The following is a 19,724-nucleotide window of genomic DNA, read 5'->3' as shown; positions in this document are numbered from 1 at the left end:
TCGAAGCTAATTCTGATTGGCTATTTCAAAGAGAGAAAGGGTATAAGCCAGAGTGGTGTGGTGAGCAGTTTGGCAGGAAAAAAGGTGAGGAACAGGGAACTAAAGGTGACTTAGGTCAGAGCAGGTGACCAGGGGTGACTCAGGTCAAAGCAGGTGACCAGGATGAATCAGGACGGAGCAGGTGACCAGGGGAACAGATGTGAACTACTGATTAAAACTGGTGGAAAAGGTTGTTTATGGAAACTGCGAGGAAGTTAAACTTTAAAATGGAGGACAAAGAACTGAACATACTGACATACTGATTATTTGAACTCTATCCAACACACTCACGCTCTTTTGGGGAAGAAAATGCAGAAGACCAGATGCTTCCCTGTGAACCCTTTGAGAACCAAGGATTTGGGGCATGCTGCCCTAGGCCTGGGACATGTATCAGTCAAATCCAGGTGAAGACAGTGCCACACTTCAGGGCTCCAGGCCCTGCTGTATCAACAGTCTGCGCCTTCCCTGCTTTTGTAGGACTGTGTTGTGGTTGATGTTGGGTATGGCAGGAGAGCGTACATATGCTGTTATCCCTCAATTCTTCCCTGCTAGGCAGCCTTCCTGGTGCAGGCGTGTGCCGCCTCCTTTCTTCCTTCTGGGCCTCATCCTGCCCTATGCTCCCCTGCACTTACTCTATTCCAGCTGTACTGGTTTTCCTTTTCTTCTCGGACCCCACCAGGGACACAGTTGCTTCATGCTGGCTGTTTCCTCCTCCCTGCCACTCTTCTCCCAGTTATCCACATGACTAATTCCGTCACCTTTTTTGAGTTCTGTTTTTTTTTTTTTAATATAAGCTTCTCAATGAGGCCTACCCTGACTACCCTCTTTAAGATGACAATCTGGTACCCTCCCCTGCCCACCTGTGCAGCATCCACATCTCCTAATTCACAAGAAACATGAAGAAATCTAGAAAAATACTCAATATAATGAAATTGTTTGAAAGTAGTGAAAAAGAGAAAATCTTCAAGGAGCCAGAGGAAAAACAGATAAGTTATATACAGATAAAGGTAAAACTGACAGTACACCTCTCATTAGAAGCAGTGTAAGTGAAAGGACAACAGAGAAACATTGTAAAGTACTAAAAAAAAAAAGGCTGTCAGCCTACAATTCTATACCCAGCAAAAATATCTTTCAAAATTACATGTGAAATGCAGTTTTTCTGAAAACTGAAAAAAATGTATCACCAAGAGGCCCACATTATAAGAAATATTAAAGGAAATCTTCTGCAGAAAATGATACTAGGTGGAAATATGGATCTACACAAAGAAATGAAGAGCCCTGGAAGTAGTAATTTCGTGGGCAAATATATGATAGATTTAGATACACTCAAAGTCTTCAAAAGATCATTGATCATTTAAACAACTGTGTTTTATGAAAAACAGTAAGAATATAATTGTGGTAGATCTTTATGTCCTATCCTCAGCACCTATGAATGTTACTTTATATGGTGAAAGGACTTTGCCAGTGTGGCTAAGTATCTTGAGATGGGGAGATTTTCTTGGGTTATCTGGGTGGCCCAGTGTACTCAAGAGTCCTTACTAAGAAGGAGGCAGGAGATCAGGGTGAGTAATAAGAGATGTAGCAATAGAAGCATGAAGTCGGAGTGATGCAAGGAAGGGGCTATGAGCCAAGGAATGCAACAGCCATGAGAAGCTGGAAAAGGCGAGGAAACCTCACAGCCTCGCAGAAGGAACCAGCCCTATTGACACCTTGGCTTTAGCTCAGTGAGACTGATTTTGGACTTCTGACATCCAGAACTATAAGAGAATTGTGTTGTTTTAAGCCACTAAGTTTGTAGTAGCAGCAATAGGAAACTAATACAGATTTGCCATAGGAAACTAATACATTAGTTTAGGGTTTTTCACATACATAAAAGTAAAAGGTATGACATTCGTACAAAGGCCAGAAAGGGAGAAATGGAAGCACAGTCATACGCCTCATCATGAGGTTTCAGTCAGTATCAGCTGCATATGTGCTGGTGGTCCTGTGAGATTATGATGGAACTGCCTCATAGAGGTGTACCATTTTTAACCTTTTATACCGTATTTTTATACCTTTTCGATGTTTAGATACACAAAATACCATTGTGTTACAGTTGCCTACAGCAGGCAGTGGTGTAGTAGTAGTAGTACAGTACCACGCTATACAGGTTTGTGGCCTAGGAGCAATAGGCTACACCACAGAGCCTAGGTGTGTAGTAGGTTATGCCGTCTAGGTTTGTGCACTCTATGATGTTTACACAATGAAAGGTCTGCCTGATGGATTTCTCAGAACGTATTCCCATTGTTGAGTGATGCATAACTATCAGGGAATTTGCCCTGATAGTCACGTAGGTTCTTTTCTATTTTCCTTAAGCATCAGCTGGTTTGAGAAATAAGGGGACAGAGTACAAAAGAGAGAAATTTTTAAAGCTGGGCGTCCAGGGGAGACATCACATCTCGGTAGGTTCCATGATGCCCCCCAAGCCACAAAACCAGCAAGTTTTTATTAGGGATTTTCAAAAGGGGAGGGAGTGTGCGAATAGGTGTGGGTCACAGACATCAAGTACTTCAGAAGGTAATAGAATATCACAAGGCAAGTGGAGGCAGGGCGAGATCACAGGACCACAGGACCGGGGTGAAATTAAAATGGCTAATGAAGTTTCGGGCACCACTGTCATTGATAACATCTTATCAGGAGACAGAGTTTTGAGAGCAACCAGTCTGACCAAAATTTATTAGGCGGGAATTTCCTCTTCCTAATAAGCCTGGGAGCGCTATGGGAGACTGGGGTCTATTTCACCTCTGCAGTCTCGACCATAAGAGACAACCACACCCAGGGGGGCCATCTATAGACCTATACCCCCAGGCACGTATTCTCTTTCCCAGGGATGTTCCTTGCTAAGAAAAATAATTCAGCGATACTTCTCCCATTTGCTTTTGAAAGAAGAGAAATATGGCTCTGTTCCGCCTGGCTCACCGGCAGTCAGAGTTTAAGGTTATCTCTCTTATTCCCTGAACAATTGCTGTTATCCTGTTCTTTTTTCAAGGTGCCCAGATTTCATATTTGTTCAAACACACATGCTGTACAATTTGTGCAGTTAACACAATTATCACAGGGTCCTGAGACGACATACATCTTCCTCAGCTGACAGGATTAAGAGATTAAAGTAAACACAGGCATAGGAAATCACAAGGGTATTGATTGGGGAGGTGATAAGTGTCCATGAAATCTTCACAATTTATGTTTAGAGATTGCAGTAAAGACAGGCATAAGAAATTATAAAAGTATTAATTTGGGGAACTAATAAATGTCCATGAAATCTTCACAATCCACGTTCTTCTGCCATGGCTTCAGCCGGTCCCTCCATTTGGGGTCCCTGACTTCCTGCAACACATAACTGTATACTATTATACGGTTTTTATACTATATACAAGGTGGAATAATTTTTGTTTTTTTGGAGATGGAGTTTCACTCTTGTCGCCCAGGCTGCAGTGCAGTAGCTCGATCTCAGCTCAGTGCAACCTCCACCTCCCAGGTTCAAGTGATTCTCCTGTCTCAGCCTCCCGAGTAGCTGTGATTACAGGCATGCGCCACCACACCCAGCTAATTTTTGTATTTTTAGTAGAGATGGGGTTCCACCGTGTTGGCTAGGCTGGTCACGAACTCCTGACCTCAAGTGATCCCCCTGCCTTGGCCTCCCAAAGTGCTGGGATTACAGGTGTGAGCCACTGTACCCGGCCTGGAATAATCTTACATAAAGGCAGAATGTGATGCGTTAAAGATTAGAATGTCAACTTAGTAAAGCAACCAATAAATAACAACAGAGTTTTAGCTAATATGCCAAGAAAGAAAAGAAAATGTCTTCATATATTGCTTATTCCTGTGATTAAGCACATTAGAAACAGATCATGCCAGGATGGATCATAAATGCATATTAACCATTTATACTCCATTCTATTAATAAACATATACAATTCTCATTACATTAGGGTTCTTGACATGTTCAATTTAGATGTGTGTCTTCGTGAGGCAGGCCCCATGACCATCCTATATCTCCAGAAAAACAGTACTAATGGTCCAGTTTTCTCATTAGCAGTCACACCAGTGGTGTCGTGACATCTTAAGGTGCCTGCAGTTATTGCAGAGGGAACTTTGATGCAAAATTCTCAGCAGTATTCTTCAAACCAATGTTGGCCTTCTTTAATATGAAAAATACTACTACTTGCTAGATGCTGTAAAACGAAAGAAAAATATTCATAGTCAGGAGTTTTAGGGGTGAAGCAATTAAAAGTCTAAAAATTTGGAGGACTCTGTTCTCTTAACCCCATTCATATGTAGGAATTGAGAACACCATTCATGTTCCCAAGCCCTAGGCTCCCCCAAAGACCGTTGCTAAGAACTGGTAAGCCCCTCACTGGTGTTGCTGTGTGCAGAGCCTGAGGGCAGCTTAGAAAAGCACCTGAGCATTAATGGGGCAGCAGTTTTGGGGGATGTGTGTGTATGTTTGTCTATCTTTTATCTTAAAATTTTCTAGAACTTTAAGTATATTATGAGACAAAAAATGATGAAATATGACAGAGGCTGGACACTGCCAAGGGAATAAAACTGTGAGCCACACCAGTGCTGAGGAGTTGAACATTTGCTTTTTATTTTTCTGAAATATAGAGAAGTAAGAAAAGAAACTGGGTAGATTATGTTTTGAGAAAAATACCATCATGACTAGTGATGGGCAGTTTTCATTTTGCTGCTGCCTCTTCTGAAGGAAAATAGCTTGCCTGCCTCAAGATGAGCCCACACTGTTCCCTGGCAGGAGGGAGAGGCCTCCCTGGTCTCGGGGGTGGCGTTTCTCATCGACACGCGTGTGTTATTGTACCAAAGCAGGACTGCTCACCTCGGGTCCTTGGATAGATTTCAAAGAATTGGTGAACCAGGATAGGAAAGAGATTATACTTTTCATTTTCTTCAAGTTCTAGTGGAAGTTAGTATTCTCTTCCATACTGAATGTTGCCGGTAAACCACAGGAGTCTTAGCCATACCCGTGACTGCCACTGTGATTAGGAATCACAGATTTTTTTTTTTTCGAGATGGAGTCTTGCTCTGTCACCCAGGCTGGAGAGCAGTGGCACAGTCTCGGCTCACTGCGATATCCGCCTCCCAGATTCAAGCGATTCTCCTGCGTCAGCCTCACAAGAAGCTGGGATTACAGGTGCCTTCCACCACGCCCGGCTAATTTTTGTATTTTTAGTAGAGACAGGGTTTTGCCATGTTGGCCAGGCTGGTCAGACTCCTGACCTCAGGTGATCCACCCGCCTCAGCCTCCCAAAGTGCTGGGACTACAGGTGTGAGCCACCACGCCCAGCCACGGAATCACAGATATTTTTATACCATGTAAATTGTGGCCAACATCTCAAAATACTGTTTAGACTCTTCACCAATTCAAAATGATGGTGGTTAGTAGACCCAGGGCCAGATCTTGTTATGTGTTGACAAACGCATATATTACTATATTACAAATTTAGAATGTTTTATATTTTGAAAACACTTCCAGTTTAATTGTTTTCTTGGTTATCTTATGTATTTTATAATTATGCATTCACCACATACCCTGAGAAGGCTCCATCAGGTGCCTCCAGAAGCACAGAATGACCAGGTGCTGGGTGGAATTTTAAATGTGGACCTTCTTTCTGACTGGTCCTCTCTGTATGTTCTTCTGCCACTCGCAATTCATAGCTGTTTTAAGACCAATCAATTTAAACATCATTTCCCTACTCAAAGGTGTGGGTAAATAACCTTGGAAGAGCATTTCTGCAATTGCTTTAGGAGCAGTCTAGGCTTCAAATATTAACCAGGTTGCTGGTTTCTCAAACATTTGCATACCGGAGAACTGAGAAAAATTAAAATACAGTCCATATTAATTCTTAGGACTCTGGAGGCTCCCACACTATCACCACTGAATGTCTGTCTGCAGAATGCTAGTATTGTAAGGCTCAAAGCTGTCTATGGAAATATGAACTAGAAAAAAAATTGGCATCAACAACTGGCATTTGTTGCAAAAGTTATTGGCAAATACAGCTGTCTCCTCTTTTAGCCAATGGTAATGTGATGTTTTTAATTCAATAAAGCATTTCAAGAAAGTCCAAACATAAAGTTATAAACATTGGATGGTAAATATTTGTTAGAAAGGGGAAATAAACTTTATGCAATTAGCCCAATCAGTCTTTTTTATGATTACAAGTTTCTCCTGTCTGTCAGCAAAGTCACTGCAAAAGAAAGTTGCTATTTAACAACACTTTCAAGCTACTTAAGCTCAGATATTCTTCCAGGTGAAGCAGAGGGTGAGAAAGCCCAATGCAGGCGCTGTCAGCTGCAAGGAAGAGTGTGTATTGCTGCTAGAGAAGGAGCAAGAAGGGGTGCAGTTAGGGTCCTGTCCTGACTGTGAGATCCCTGCCTCACAAAGTCCCACCGCTTTCTCACATGAGAGAGGTGTTCATCTGCCCCATCACCACCACCCTGGTCCTGGAGGCTTTCAGTTGAAAGGTGCTGTTTAATGACCACCACCCCTTTCCCTACTGCTTCCCAGGAATGCATTCCACCATCGTGGCTCCAAAGCCCAGGCATGGCTGCCACACAGTAGTGCTTGGAAGGGATGTACACTCTTCTTGTTAGTTGCCACGAGCATATATGTGCCTGTATGTCATAGCATTCACAAGGACCCGAGGTGTGCATGTTATGCCGCTGTTTAAGAATGTTATTGAGCACAAAGCTGTCAGCCAATCATTTCAGGAAGACAGGATCTAGACTGGTTATAGGCATTGGAAGGTCTTAGACAATTGTTTCTACGTAATACTCCCTCCTTTCTCTTTTCTCGTTAATTGCCTTTTGGTACAGTGTGGAGATGCTTTCTAGATCACACAGTGCCTGAGAAGGACTCTCTAGTCAGGCTGCCCAGGGCCCCATTCTGCCTCTGTTCTTGAACAGGTTGCCTAGTCTCACTATGTCTCAGTCTTCTCATCTGCAAAATGGGAATATAAACTCTACTTATCCATCATTGTGAAGACATGAGAGTTAGTAGTAACTGAATTAAAGCACTTAGCATGTAGCACACACTCAATAAATGTTAGGTAGTGTCCATTCTGTGCCTCCTTGTCGCCTGGAGCCAGAGGGACAGGAGGAAACACTGTTTAGCTGAGATCACATGGGCCTGTCCCTTCCCATATCTTTCCCTGTGCTGTCCTCACCATCCCTCCCGGTACTCTGGGAGCCTGGAACCCCCAGGGATTGCTTTCCCGTGTCCAGTACCTCTACCTGGGCAAAATCCCAGTCTCCAGGCTTTTCTCCTTTCTCACGTCCTGCAGATTTACATGGGCATCTGATGGCTAGAGAGATGCTTGGGGTGACAAAATTCTACCTTGGGACAACAAAGTTTGTTCCTCTGATGCCAGTTATTTTTAAACCTGGTGGATTGCTAGAGTCCTCCAGAGACTGTTAGAAGTTTCTGTGTCTTACTCCAGATTTTCTGTCTTAAAAGTCTTCAGGAAGATGGGTTTTAGGTATCTGTCTTTCCGTACAGCTTCCCTGGAGATTCTTCCATCCAGCTTAGTTAGGAAACTGCTCATCTAAATGAGGTCTGTCCCTTTAATGCTGGTGGACCTGGCCAGAATGGGTGGCTGGCGGGGTCCCGGAGCCTGGCCTTGCCCCTCTCAGGGCTGTACGGTAGTGCGTGGACTTGCATGCCAGGCTGAAAGCTGTCCTGCCTGTCTCAGTCTCCGCTTCCTGCCCAGCATCTGCAGCCTCTCAGAGCCGTTGGACTTTGGCAGCAGATGGTCCTAATTTTCCAGAAGTGTTTGAAAGTTTACAGTAGACTGCCTTTTCAGAGAGCTCTCCACACCATGCCAGTTGTGAGTTGTCTTTCTTGTCCCTGCTGCCAGCTGAAGTCCTGGGCCCCACCCTCACCCGGCAGCCCCCAACCCCAGCCAGGTGACGGTCTCTGTAGCCCTCAGGAACATGGAAGGAGTGGCCCTCCCAGGACTCAGGAAGCCTTCCAGGAGTGGGGCTGGCATGCTGGCCCGGGGAAGACTTCACACTGCAGTAGTATGTGTGGAAAATTTGGATGAGTCACTTTTTCATCCAGCTCTTAGCGTTGATTTTCTCTCTCTTTTGGCTTGTGTTATCAGCAGCACATTTTTGAGAGACTTTATATAAGCATCTCATTCAGTATCATTTTGAGTTAGAGCCGCCCTCCAAACCCTCAGCAGATGCCCAGAGAGGATGAGGCAAGAGAACAGCAACATGACCTTCACAGTCCTTGACAGGGACACCACCAGTTGAAGAAAAGTGGCGAAGGCTCGTGTACGTGAGCAATGGTGCCATCTGAGCAGCTCAAACCTTCCCGCGTTTTCACAGCGCTCCAGGGATGCATGCTTGCTGCTGGCTCATCATGCAGCCGCTCGAGGAACTATGCAGCAAAACATGCTGGGGATGACTCTTGACAAACCGTAAGCGTAGCCAGTGAGGTGACAAATGCTAGAACCAGAGAGCTGTTTCATTTTCCTTGCCATGTGCACGGACTGTGACTTTCCACCGCAACTCAAGCACTGCCGCCGGGGGCGGGAGTGGGAGAGGAGGTCTTAGTACCCCCACCCCTGATTTGGCCTGGGCAGCCGCCCTTTGTGTGTTTCCACCCTGTTCTAGTGCATCACGTGTCGCTGAAGCCCAGGGACGTGCTGCCCAGCAGTGTTTCCAGGGAGAACTCTGCAGGCGGAGGGAACGGCATGTCGCTGAGCACAGAGCGCCCCATCTCACTGCAGATGAGAGGATGGACACTCACACCGAGAATGCATGATTGCAGGGGAAGCGGGAAGAGGAAATTGGGGACTGATGGAGAGGTAGTGTAACCAGTGGGAAGGAGCCTGTGTTCTGGGTTAGAACAGGTCCACCCATTTCCTCATCTGTAAAATGGGAACAGGAAGTGTCTGTCTCACAAGGTTGATGTGGGTAGGAAAGAGACAACCCTGATAAAGCACTTCTATGATGTCTGGACTTGGTGACTGCTTAGCTTGCCAGGCACTGGTTTACAGATGAAAGTATTCATCCCATTCATACATTCCACACGTCTTTACTGGATATATATATATATATATATGTATGTATGTGTGTGTGTCTGTGTGTGTGTGTGTGTCTTGGAGTTAGTCAGGACTAGTGTAGAGTTGTCCCGTCATTTTTAAAAAATTGTGTTATTTTTTAACTTTTTGTTGTAAGACAATTGTAACTCTTAAAACTTACAAAAAATACTATATGCCTTTCAGCCAACTTCCTGTTATGTTAACATCTTACACGGCCAGGCACAGTGGCTCATGCCTGTAATCCCAGCACTTTGGGGGGCCAAGGCAGGAGGATCACCAGAGGTTAGGGGTTTGAGACCAGCCTGGCCAACATGGTGAAACCCCATCTCTACCAAAAATACAAAAATTAGCCAGGCATGGTGGCGCATGCCTGTAGTCCCAGCTACTTAGGAGGCTGAGGCAGGAGAATCGCTTGAACCCAGGAGGCGGAGGTTGCAGTGAGCTGAGATTGCACCACTGCACTCCAGCCTGGGTGACAGAGTGAGGCTCGATCTCAAAAATAAAAATAAAAAACAAAAATAAAAAAATCTTACATGCCCGTAGAACCATAATGAAAACCAGGAAATTAAGCTTGGTACAATACTATTAGGTAAAATACATTTAGATTTCACCAGTTTTTCCATCAATGTCCTTTCTGTATACCAGGATCCTATTTCACGTTTAGTTGTCATGTCTCTGGTCTCCTCCAATAACAGTTCCTCAGCCTTTCCTTTTCTTTCATGACCTTGACGCTTTTGAAGAGTACCAGTCTATTAGTTTGCCTTTGGGTTTGTCTGATGTGTTCTCACGACTAGATTGAGGTTCCGCGTTATTGGGAAGGATACCACAGAGGTGATGTGGTCATTATGTCTCGTTACTGGTGATGCTAGCCTTGGTCACCTAGCTAAGCTGTTACCTGGCAGGATACTCCACCGTAACTTACTGTTTTTCCTTTTGTTGAGTTTTTCTGTAGCCGTTTCCCAACCTCAGCGCTATTGGTGTCTTAGGCTGAATAATTCTTTGTTGCAGGGCACTGTCTTGTACAATAGAAGATCTTTAGCAGTATCCTTGGCCTCTGCCCCCTATAGCTCGGGGGCACTCCCCCTGGTTGTGACAACCAAAAAATGCCTTCGGACATTGCCAAACATCCTCTGGGTCTTTTATGTCAATGAGTCTACATACACTTTTAGTCTTTCCCGAGCGATGGCTTTGCTCACTTACACATTCTTAGAAAATCATTTCATCTCAGGCTTATGTACATAAAACTGAGCTAAGTCGCCCCTGATAATTTTTTTAGATTTCTCTACATTTTGGATATTTTCTCCTTTCTTTTCTTCTTTGTTGTACTTTTCTCCCCTTTTTCTTGTATTGTTTAACAAAAGGTTCATCTAGTTTCCCCCCAAAGAGCCAACCCTTATATTTTTCGTTGGCTTTTCTGTTTCGCCCTTTTTAATGCCCAGTCTTTGAAATTTGACAAATGCAGAGTTATATAACCAATCAATTTGCAAAACAGGTCCATCGCCCAAAATACCCCCCATGCGCCTTCAAGCTAGTCTCTTCCCCTATTACCGGGAAATCACTGATAATTTTTGTCCTTCTTGTTTTTTAAAATGTATATTAAAGCATTTTAAATTTTTTTAAAAGGCAAGTTAGTAGTTTGAGCCCGTGTTTAAGAGGAGGGGGTCACACGAGGGTGTAATCCTAAGAGACAGAGATCATTGCGGCCATAGTAGAACACTGCCTCCCGCCCCTAAGTGGAGAATGTCTTTATTCTACATGGCATGTGTTCTGTTCCAGCTGTTTTCTTCTCAAATATTGTCTCTGCCCAACTCTTTCTATTCTCTCCTTCTGGGTCTGATTAGACACATACATCAGTATTTCTCACTTGGTTCTTCGGATCTCTTAACCCATCTTTTATATTCCCCACCGCCTTTCCTCTGCAGGCTGCATTCTGGATAATTTCTTCAGGTCTGTTTTCTAGTCACAGATTCTCTCATTCGGGGCTGTCAAAATCCATTGATTTTCTTCAACAATTATATATTTCATTTTTAAATGTTATTTCCAGTTTCTTATATTCAACAGTGTTAATATCTTGCTGCTAGCTTGTTTATGTAATCTCATCTTCTATTTCTTTATAGATAGTTACTATAAATTCTGTATCTGACAATTTTATTACCTAAACACCTTGACAGTTTAAATCTTCTGTTTGTTGTTGCTGCTGACCATCACTCACATTACCATGTTTGATTATGGGTTTATACTTTATTGGACATAACCATGGAATTCTAAGATCCTAAATTGCTCTCTTTAGGAGAACTTAAATTTGTTTCAACCAGAACCCCTTTTTCTGAAAAGGGGCTGCTTCTAGCCTTTTCAGAACTGGTAAACACCCTTCCAGATTCCCTGGTTTAACCTGGGTGTCTCAGATAGATCTCCTGACCTTGTTCTATCTGAGATAGGCCAGCCCCAGATGACTTCTCCCAACTTCAGTGCCAACTGAGATATAAGAGCTTTCAAAGGTAAAATGTTAACCACAAAGAAAAAATAGCACAATTGGGTGGTAGAAGGAATGAAAGGGCGGGCATTGGTGTTGGCAGTGAAAGGGTGGGCATTGGTGTTGGCAGTGAAAGGGTGGGTGTTGGCAGTGAAAGGGTGGGTGTTGGTAGTGAAAGGGTGGGTGTTGGTGTTGGCAGTGAAAGGGTGGATGTTGGTAGTGAAAGGGTGGGTGTTGGTGTTGGCAACCAACGCCTGCCCTTTGGGGAACCCACCCTTGCATGTGCTCATCACACATTGCTATACAGTAGTGTATATGTATAAAGACAGCTGGGTATGGGTTTTGTATTTGCTTCCTCGAATATTTCCTTTACTTGGGGGTGAGCTCAGCTATAAGAACTATCCTTTATTATGGTACCCAGCTGTTGTGTACTGGAAGAGCAGCCCTGTCTGCCACAAAGTCTGCTATTCGCTGAAAGCAGAAGGTTCATCCATCAGTCACCCTTCTCTTTAGGGTGCCTGGCTTCCTGAGCATGATGAATGCATCTCCACCTCCAAGCCCCACCCTTTCACTCCTTCCACCACCCAATTCTGTTATTTTTCTTTGTGCTTAACATTTTACCTTTGGAAGTTCTTATATCTCAGTTTTCACATTTTATCTGTTATATTTTACTCTTTCCCCAGCTAGAAAAGATAAAGACATTGATGTACATATAGACAGCCTCCCACAGCTCCCACCCCAGTGCACCTTCTTCCCAGCCGGTTCTTCTCTCTGTCATTTCTGCCTTGTCTGGGTTTCCGTCCCATGAATTCTGTTCTCTAACTCCCATTCCTACGTTGGTTTCAATCAATACTTTGATCAGTGCTCACTGCTGGCCCATTTTCTATGGGTTCTTCAGTCATTTCTTAGTTGGCCAAGGGTCGTCCTGTGGTAACTTCTCCAGAAAGGATTTAACTACTTGTAAGTTCAAAAATCTTTTTCCATTGCCTAAGTACTTGAGCAAACGTTTAGTTGATATAAATTTCCTGGGCCACATGTTCTGCCTTTCCTTGTGTCTGTATCAGCATCACTCACTCCAGTGCCTGTAGAGAGAGGCTGCTGCAAAGACATCTGCACAGCCCGAGCTCTTTTCCCATTATCTGTGCTGGCTACCCAAAGAGTGTTCTGGTGTATCTCTGAAACCCAGTGACTTTATCAGGACACGCCTCTGGGCTCATTATTTTGCGCCATTTTTTCTTGGGGCTTTGCTTTGCAATCTGAGAATAAGACCTTCCATCATTTCAGTTGAGGGTCTTGAATTTATATTCAAATGCCCTTTCTTTTACATCACTTTAGTTCTCTTCTTTATGAGTCTTGTGCTTCTAACCCAGCTCAGACTCTGTGACCTTCACAAACATTGACCTCCTCTTTGGAAAAGTGGAAAAAATAGAGAAAGCCCCCTCCTGCCTGCCTCCCAGGGCTGCCATGAGGCTCAGGATGACAGGAACCTGAGCACTTTGTCATTTGCAATGCATGACATGAATGCAGGCTGTTGATCTAGAAGGCATCAAGGTGATGACAAGCATTCGTGTAGTCACCGCATCTGTTCAGTAGTGAAAATGTATCACAAGAATGGTGAGGACTTGGCTTGGGTGCAGAGAGCAGTGCTGGTGGCCAAGCTTGGATGAGACGCTGCAGTGCTAACTTCTCCTTTGCTGTCATTCCCGTTTTCTTTTTTCTTAAGCTGACGACAAAGGTAGCCACTATCCTGACTCCCAACACTGTGGTTCAACATTGTTGTTAAACTGTATGTAAATGAAATCATACAGTATTCCATTGTTCTAATATACCAGCATTCATCTGTTCTGCTCTTGATGGGCATTTGGGTTGTTTCCAACATGGAACTAATGCAAGTAGTATTTCAGTGAACTTTCTTGACAATGTCTTTGGTGAACACATACACATTTTTTGCGTTATATACTTAGGATTCGAATTGCTGGGTATTAGAATGTGTGTGTCTTCAGCTTTAGCAAATACTGCCAAAGTTTTCCAAAGCTGTTGAACCAAGTTAAAATCTCATTCTCAGCATCCAAAAGGACCCATTGTGCCCCATTGTTCCCAATGAGCGGTGCTCTCCATCTTCTTCATTCTACCCATTCTGGCTGCTGTGTCAAGGTATCTAATCTAATGGTGGTTGTAATTTCCCTTCCCTGATGACTAAAGAAGTTGAGCACCTTTTCATATGTTTACTAGCCATTTAAACATTCTCTTTTATGAAGTGTCTGTTCAAGACTTTTGCCCATTTTTCTACTGGGTCTTTTTCTTAATTGATCTATAGGAGTTTTTTGTTGTTTTAAATCATGTTTTGGATACAAACACTTTGTTGGTTATACACATTACAAATCTCTTATGTATTGCAAATATATTCTTGTGTTCTTACAGTTGCCTTTTGGTAAACAGAAGTTGTTAATTTTGGCCAGGCGCAGTGGCTCATGCCTGTAATCCCAGCACTTTGGGAGACTGAGACGGGTGGATCACGAGGTCAGGAGATTGAGACCATCCTGGCTAACACGCTGAAACCCCGTCTCTACTAAAAATACAAAAAATTAGCCGGGTGTGGTGGCGGGCGCCTGTGGTCCCAGCTACTCGGAAGGCTGAGGCAGGAGAATGGCGTGAACCTGGGAGGCGGAGCTTGCAGTGAGCCGAGATCACGCTACTGCACTCCAGCCTGGGCGACAGAGCGAGACTCTGTCTCAAAAAAAAAAAAAAAGTTGTTAATTTTAATATGGTGTAATTCATTAGTTTTCTTACTTTATCATTAGTCCTTTTTGTGTTCTGTTTAAGAAATCTTTGTCTAACCTCATTCTTCTTTTCTTTGATGGTTAGAAAAGTTTCATGAGAAAGCCCTGTCTATAAAATCCATAACGAACAGTTGACACCACCTTCTTCCTCTTTCTCCTGATGGAGTGGTCATTTCTCCTAATCCCAACCGCTCCTGTCCCATAAATTCTCCCCCTGGGTCAGCCTTGTCTTGTGAGCACATGTCCACACACAGACACCACAGTCTCAAAGAGCTCGCAGGTCAGAGTGCATGGAATCAAATGTTTGATGAGGTGCAGTTGGTCTTTATAGGACCAGCTGTGCTGCACTGGGGCTCTCATCTTTTTACCATTCCTTTGAGGGGTGAACAATCATGGGAACATGCAGGCTTTTCTGAAGCGCATGTGCAGTATTCCACTTGAGCCATCCACTTCCTAAAGGGCACAGATCAGCTCCGACATACGTGAAAAATGAGAAGGAGCTGTGGGCTTTTCTTAGCTCTCTTTAAAAGCTCCCTCCAGCTCTGCCTTCCTTCCCTTTCTCTTATTTTTATCCCTTCAACTTCTAAAAACTGTTTGATTTTAGACAGCACAGTTGTGCGTCTCTTCTATGCAGATGTTTGAGATTACTTGGAAGAGCAGACCTCTAAACTGAACTCGACACCCTTTGCAAACCACACGGTGACCACCCTGCACCAGCTACAGGAGCTCCTTGACCTTCATCCTGCTCAGTGTGAAGCAGCAGGTCCCTGGCCACACCCTGGAGGGTGATGTCTTCCTGCTCCAACTTGGGCCTTTTAGCCATGATTGGGTTTGTCATCCTGGAATCACTGCGTCTTCACAAGATCTTTAAGTACATCTGTTCTCAATTTTCAGACTGTGAGGCCAGGATTTGGGTGCAAGTAGTTTATCTGGGAAGTGATCCCAGGAAGCACTGTGAGGGGGTGAGGGAGAGAGCAGTCAAGAAAGGTGCAATCCTGAGTAAGTGACTGCTGTCGGCAGCGGGGCCATCCCCCCCAGGACCCTCTGAGAGGCGTGTGGAACTTGCCTCAGTATCATCTCCCTGTCCCCTGGGCGGGTGGGGAGTTACCAGCTCCTGTCTCTTATGGTTGAGGTCACTGTCTGCATGTGGTTCCTTCAGAGAGGACACTGGCTGTGTCTGCTTTCATGATTTTGATAAATTGTCTCCTTCTGAGCACTTTGTCGATGCCCAGATTTCCTAATGATACAGTTGGGAGTCTGTGTGTTTAAATGCCAATTCCTGTTTTAGTGGAATTATTTTAATTGTGTATTTGTAGATGTTCTGGAAGTTCTGTAGGTAAAATGCTATAAAAAATTGTGCACAGCTCAGCTGAGCTAGAAACAGGTGACCGCAGGGAGAACAGAAGGTTGCCCCTGTAACCCTGTCGGGGTACCAGTCCTTCATGGCCCTTTGGGCTGTCATTTCTTGGCCTCACAGTGGTTGCCTACCCATCTGGCCTTGACTTCAGAGTTGCCTCTTCCAGCAAGCCCTCCCTGATGAGGTTTGGTTAGATCCTCTTTCTGTGTCCCCTAGACAGCCCCTCACTGCTGTAAATGGAAGATGTCTGTTTGCTCATCACTCCTGGGAGGCAGGGGCTGCTGCTCCTGGCCAGGGCTGTGCCTCTGATATCTCCTAGGCCCTCGGTGGTTGTTGGAGCTGTTGAACTCAACTCCGTGAGACAAGCCCTCCTAGGAGTAGATGCACAGAATTTTGTTGAGCTAAATGAGCCAGTTCAAGTGATGCACTGATATTTTGGACATACAGACTTATGACCCTCTGGCTTCCCCATACGTTTCGAATCCCAAATTTGAAACAGTGGTTGGGCCACACCTCTGACCCCAGCTGTGACCTGTGAGTGTGGGTGTTCTCCACAATTATGGTTCCTTCCCTTGTCCTGCAGCATCTAATGTGTGCTGGACTGTGGTGCCTGGTAGAAGGAGACACATCCTGCAAGACCAAGCTGGACCCTCCCCTGGATGGCACCGAGTGTGGGGCAGACAAGGTAACCTCTGACTTCCCACTGCCCCCAACAGGCAGCTCCACATCTTGCAGGCAACTGGCACCTCTTCTGACACACAATCTGTACTCTACTTAGGAGCCCCTGAAACATCCCCCAGGCGGCACAGAAATGCCCATGGAGGCCACTCCGGGCACAGAGTGGTGCCTACATCACCTCATTCCTTTTTCTTATAAGATACAAGTATCATTTACTTAATATTTTTGTTAGATTAACTCCTTTCATCATGTAAGGAAATTTACTTAAAAGGAACACTTTCACCAGTATATTTCAAATGGAAAAACAACATCACCTGCCATACACAGTAGGCTCTCGTAAAAATAATTCAGTGAGAACAGTATTATCCAATTCTAGCTAAATGTTGAGAGAATGAGCTTGTTCCTCATGTGCAGGAGAGATGGGGAGGTGTTGGAGAGAAGGGGTGTTCGGGATCTGCAGCCCCAGGACCTCTCTCCAGTCTTATTGCAAGAATTGAAAGAGTTGAAAAAGGAGTAAAGGTTTGCTCTGATGCCGTGATTGGGAACCACAGAAATCACACCTAGCACCTCAGGGTATGTGCTGTGCACTTTGAGAAATTGTTTTATAGGGCTGGCCTTGAGTTATCCTCAGAAAGAACCAAGGTTCCCTCACGTGGAGCTGGCTGTGCCATCGCCAAGCAGCAAACACAACTCTCAGGTTCACAACCTCAACCGGGGCATGCCGCCTCCCAGCGAGAAACGCACTCACGTCAAACAAAGTTTGCAGAAGCCCAGGTCTCTTCAAGAGCTACGTAGATTCATCCTTTTTCTGGGATTTAGAAAATCCCCATGGAGCACATCCATCTGAAAGTTGAGGGCAAAATCCAAACCCTACAGCGATATGAGTGTCAGTTTGAGTAAGTAAGGCATGTCTCTAAAATTAGCAAACGTGCAAACCCTGAAATAGACTGTACCTTTATGTAAATTTAGCAAATGGGTTTTTGGCAGCACGGCATTTTGGGGCCTGGCGGGCTGGAGTGAGCAGCTCTGCTGAGTGCCTGGGCCCCGACCCTCCCCGCTGTGTTTCAGTGGTGCCGCGCGGGGGAGTGCGTGAGCAAGACGCCCATCCCGGAGCATGTGGACGGAGACTGGAGCCCGTGGGGCGCCTGGAGCATGTGCAGCCGAACATGTGGGACGGGAGCCCGCTTCAGGCAGAGGAAATGTGACAACCCCCCGTAAGTCCCCTGACCAGCCATACCCCAACGTGCCACGATTGGAGTTTCCCAACAGCAGCTCTCGCTGCCTCACACAAAGCAGGGTCTGTCTCCCGCTGAGCATTAGAAGATATGGAAAATGAAACCCAGCCAAGGTCCAGGGTGCAGGGACCTCGTGTGTGTCAAATGACATCTCAGCTTAAATTGCTCTTTCTGTGAACATGGATACAGTAGAGTCTGGGGTGAGCTGACTCCCTCATTCCTTCCCTGGGCCTCAGTGGAAAGGTTTTCGGAGACAGCTGTATGACAGTCCCTCCAGCCTGCCCGTGGTTTAGCAAGTCCAGGGTCATTCCACACTGGCTGTCTCTGATGTGGGAGCAGCCTGGTGGTTCATGAGTCACAGAGTGTCTGGGTGCAGCTGTCTTCCTCATCCTAATATTTGCCATGGGTCCTCCTGTAACTGTTAGAAAAAATGTGATTTAGTTTTTTTCTCTTTGGCTTCTTTTTATTGACTCTAATGACACCATGACCTTTCCTGTTCACCTTTGTACATTTGTTCCACGAAACTCAGGGATCGATTTTGGGCTTGATGGTGATAATTCCATCACCAGATTTTTCCCTTTTCTTCTTGAAGTTTCCCATTTCTTTTTTTTTTTTTTTTCATACTTTAAGTTCTGGGGTACATGTGCAGAATGTGCAGGTTTGTTCCATAGGTATACACGTGCCATGGTGGTTTGCTGCACCCATCAACTCGTCACCTACATTAGGTATTTCTCCTAATGCTGTCCCTCCCCTTGCCCCTCAACCCCCTCGACAGGCCCCGGTGTGTGATGTTTCCCTCTCTGTGTCCCTGTGTTCTCATTGTTCAGCTCCCATTTCTGAGTGAGAACATACAGTGTTTGGTTTTCTGTTCCTGTGTTAGTTTGCTGAGAATGATGTTTTTCAGCTTCATCCATGTCCCTGCAAAGGACATGAACCCATCCTTTTTTTATGGCTGCGTAGTATTCCATGGTGTATATGTGCCACATTTTCTTTATCCAGTCTATCATTGATGGGCATTTGGGTTGGTTCCAAGTCTTTGCTATTGTGAATAGTGCCACAATAAACATATGGCTGCGTGTGTCTTTATGGTAGAATGATTTATAATCCTTGGGTATATACTCAGTAATGGGATTGCTGGGTCAAATGAAGCTTCCCATTTCTTACCATTTCTTTTAATGATCTGTTTTATGCCTTGTGTGTCAGCAGTTGCAGCACATCAATTTTGAAAACGAGCAAGTTCTAAATAGTGACTATAAAGAAATCTCCACAATTAAGTCCTGTTGATGGATAATTAGCAAATGCCTCTTATGTTTAAAAATCCTGATGCCCAGGTCATACCCCAGACTGATCAAATCACAGAACACTAAGGGTGGGGCCCAGGAATTGGATATTTTATCTTCCCAGGTGACTCCAGCAGCAGTCAATGTTGGAACCTCTGGATTAAAGGAAGGGTTATGCTCCTAGTCTGGTCAGTGACAGGAGCACCATTTTCCCAGCAATGCTATAAGAATTGGCATTATGTATTAATTATGTCTTATTAAAACATTTCCCTCTAGCACCCAGCAGAGTGCGGGGCACATAGGTGTTTAGTCTGTTAGGAATGACTTTTTTTTTTTTTTTTTGAGATGGAGCCTCACTCTGTCCCCCAGGCTGGAGTGCGGTGGCCCAGTCTCGGCTCACTGCAACCTCCGCCTCCCTGCTTCAAGTGATTCTCCTGCCTCAGCCTCGCAAGTAGCTGGGATTACAGGAGTGCACCACAACTCCCAGCTACTTTTTGTATTTTTAGTAGAGATGGGGTTTCGCCATGTTGCCAGGCTGGTCTTGAACTCCTGACCTCATGTGATCTGCTCACCTCTGCCTCCCAAAATGCTGGGATTACAGGTGTGAGCCACCATGCCCAATCCAGGAATGACTTCTTAATTAAGGGCATAGGTGGGTAGATGATTAGAAACCCTGTTTAGCTAAATGGTGGGAAATTAATAGGTGGTTGCAGTTTTTGCATTACTCTGTGTTGACGTTAATAGTTTGACCTCTGGCCTCGTGAAGAAAGGGCTGGGT

The 19,724-nt window shown here is 44.8% G+C and overlaps 1 protein-coding gene across 18 annotated transcripts in view, besides 2 other annotated features; it reads left to right on the top strand.

Moving 5' to 3' along the window:
- Positions 1-19,724, top strand: part of ADAMTS17 (ADAM metallopeptidase with thrombospondin type 1 motif 17) — a 370,539-nt gene that overhangs the window by 192,324 nt on the left and 158,491 nt on the right. For 16 of the 18 annotated variants that reach the window (XR_001751118.2, XR_001751120.2, XR_001751119.2 and 13 more), the window contains 2 exons: positions 16,337-16,438; positions 17,500-17,645. The exons of 1 other annotated variant lie outside the window; for it this stretch is intronic. Coding sequence is in view for 14 of the 17 variants with exons in the window: in NM_139057.4 (NP_620688.2) it covers positions 16,337-16,438; positions 17,500-17,645 (248 nt within the window). In the remaining 3 variants the exon portion in view is untranslated. Of the gene's footprint in view, positions 1-15,069; positions 15,226-16,336; positions 16,439-17,499; positions 17,646-19,724 lie in introns of those variants that run through there. One more of the 18 variants, XM_017021982.2, reaches the window with a different exon arrangement.
- Positions 17,589-17,658: an enhancer, noted in NCBI's record as "active region_10166". NCBI's record gives its function as "activates an Ori minimal core promoter by ATAC-STARR-seq in GM12878 lymphoblastoid cells {active_cell/tissue: GM12878}" and the evidence as "EXISTENCE:reporter gene assay evidence [ECO:0000049][PMID:35858748]".
- Positions 17,699-17,788: an enhancer, noted in NCBI's record as "active region_10165". NCBI's record gives its function as "activates an Ori minimal core promoter by ATAC-STARR-seq in GM12878 lymphoblastoid cells {active_cell/tissue: GM12878}" and the evidence as "EXISTENCE:reporter gene assay evidence [ECO:0000049][PMID:35858748]".

The sequence above is a fragment of the Homo sapiens genome, chromosome 15 (genome assembly GCF_000001405.40).
Source record: "Homo sapiens chromosome 15, GRCh38.p14 Primary Assembly".
NCBI lineage: Eukaryota > Metazoa > Chordata > Mammalia > Primates > Hominidae > Homo > Homo sapiens.
The sequence above is the reverse complement of the archived record's forward strand: the minus strand, read 5'-3'. Positions and strand labels throughout refer to the sequence as shown.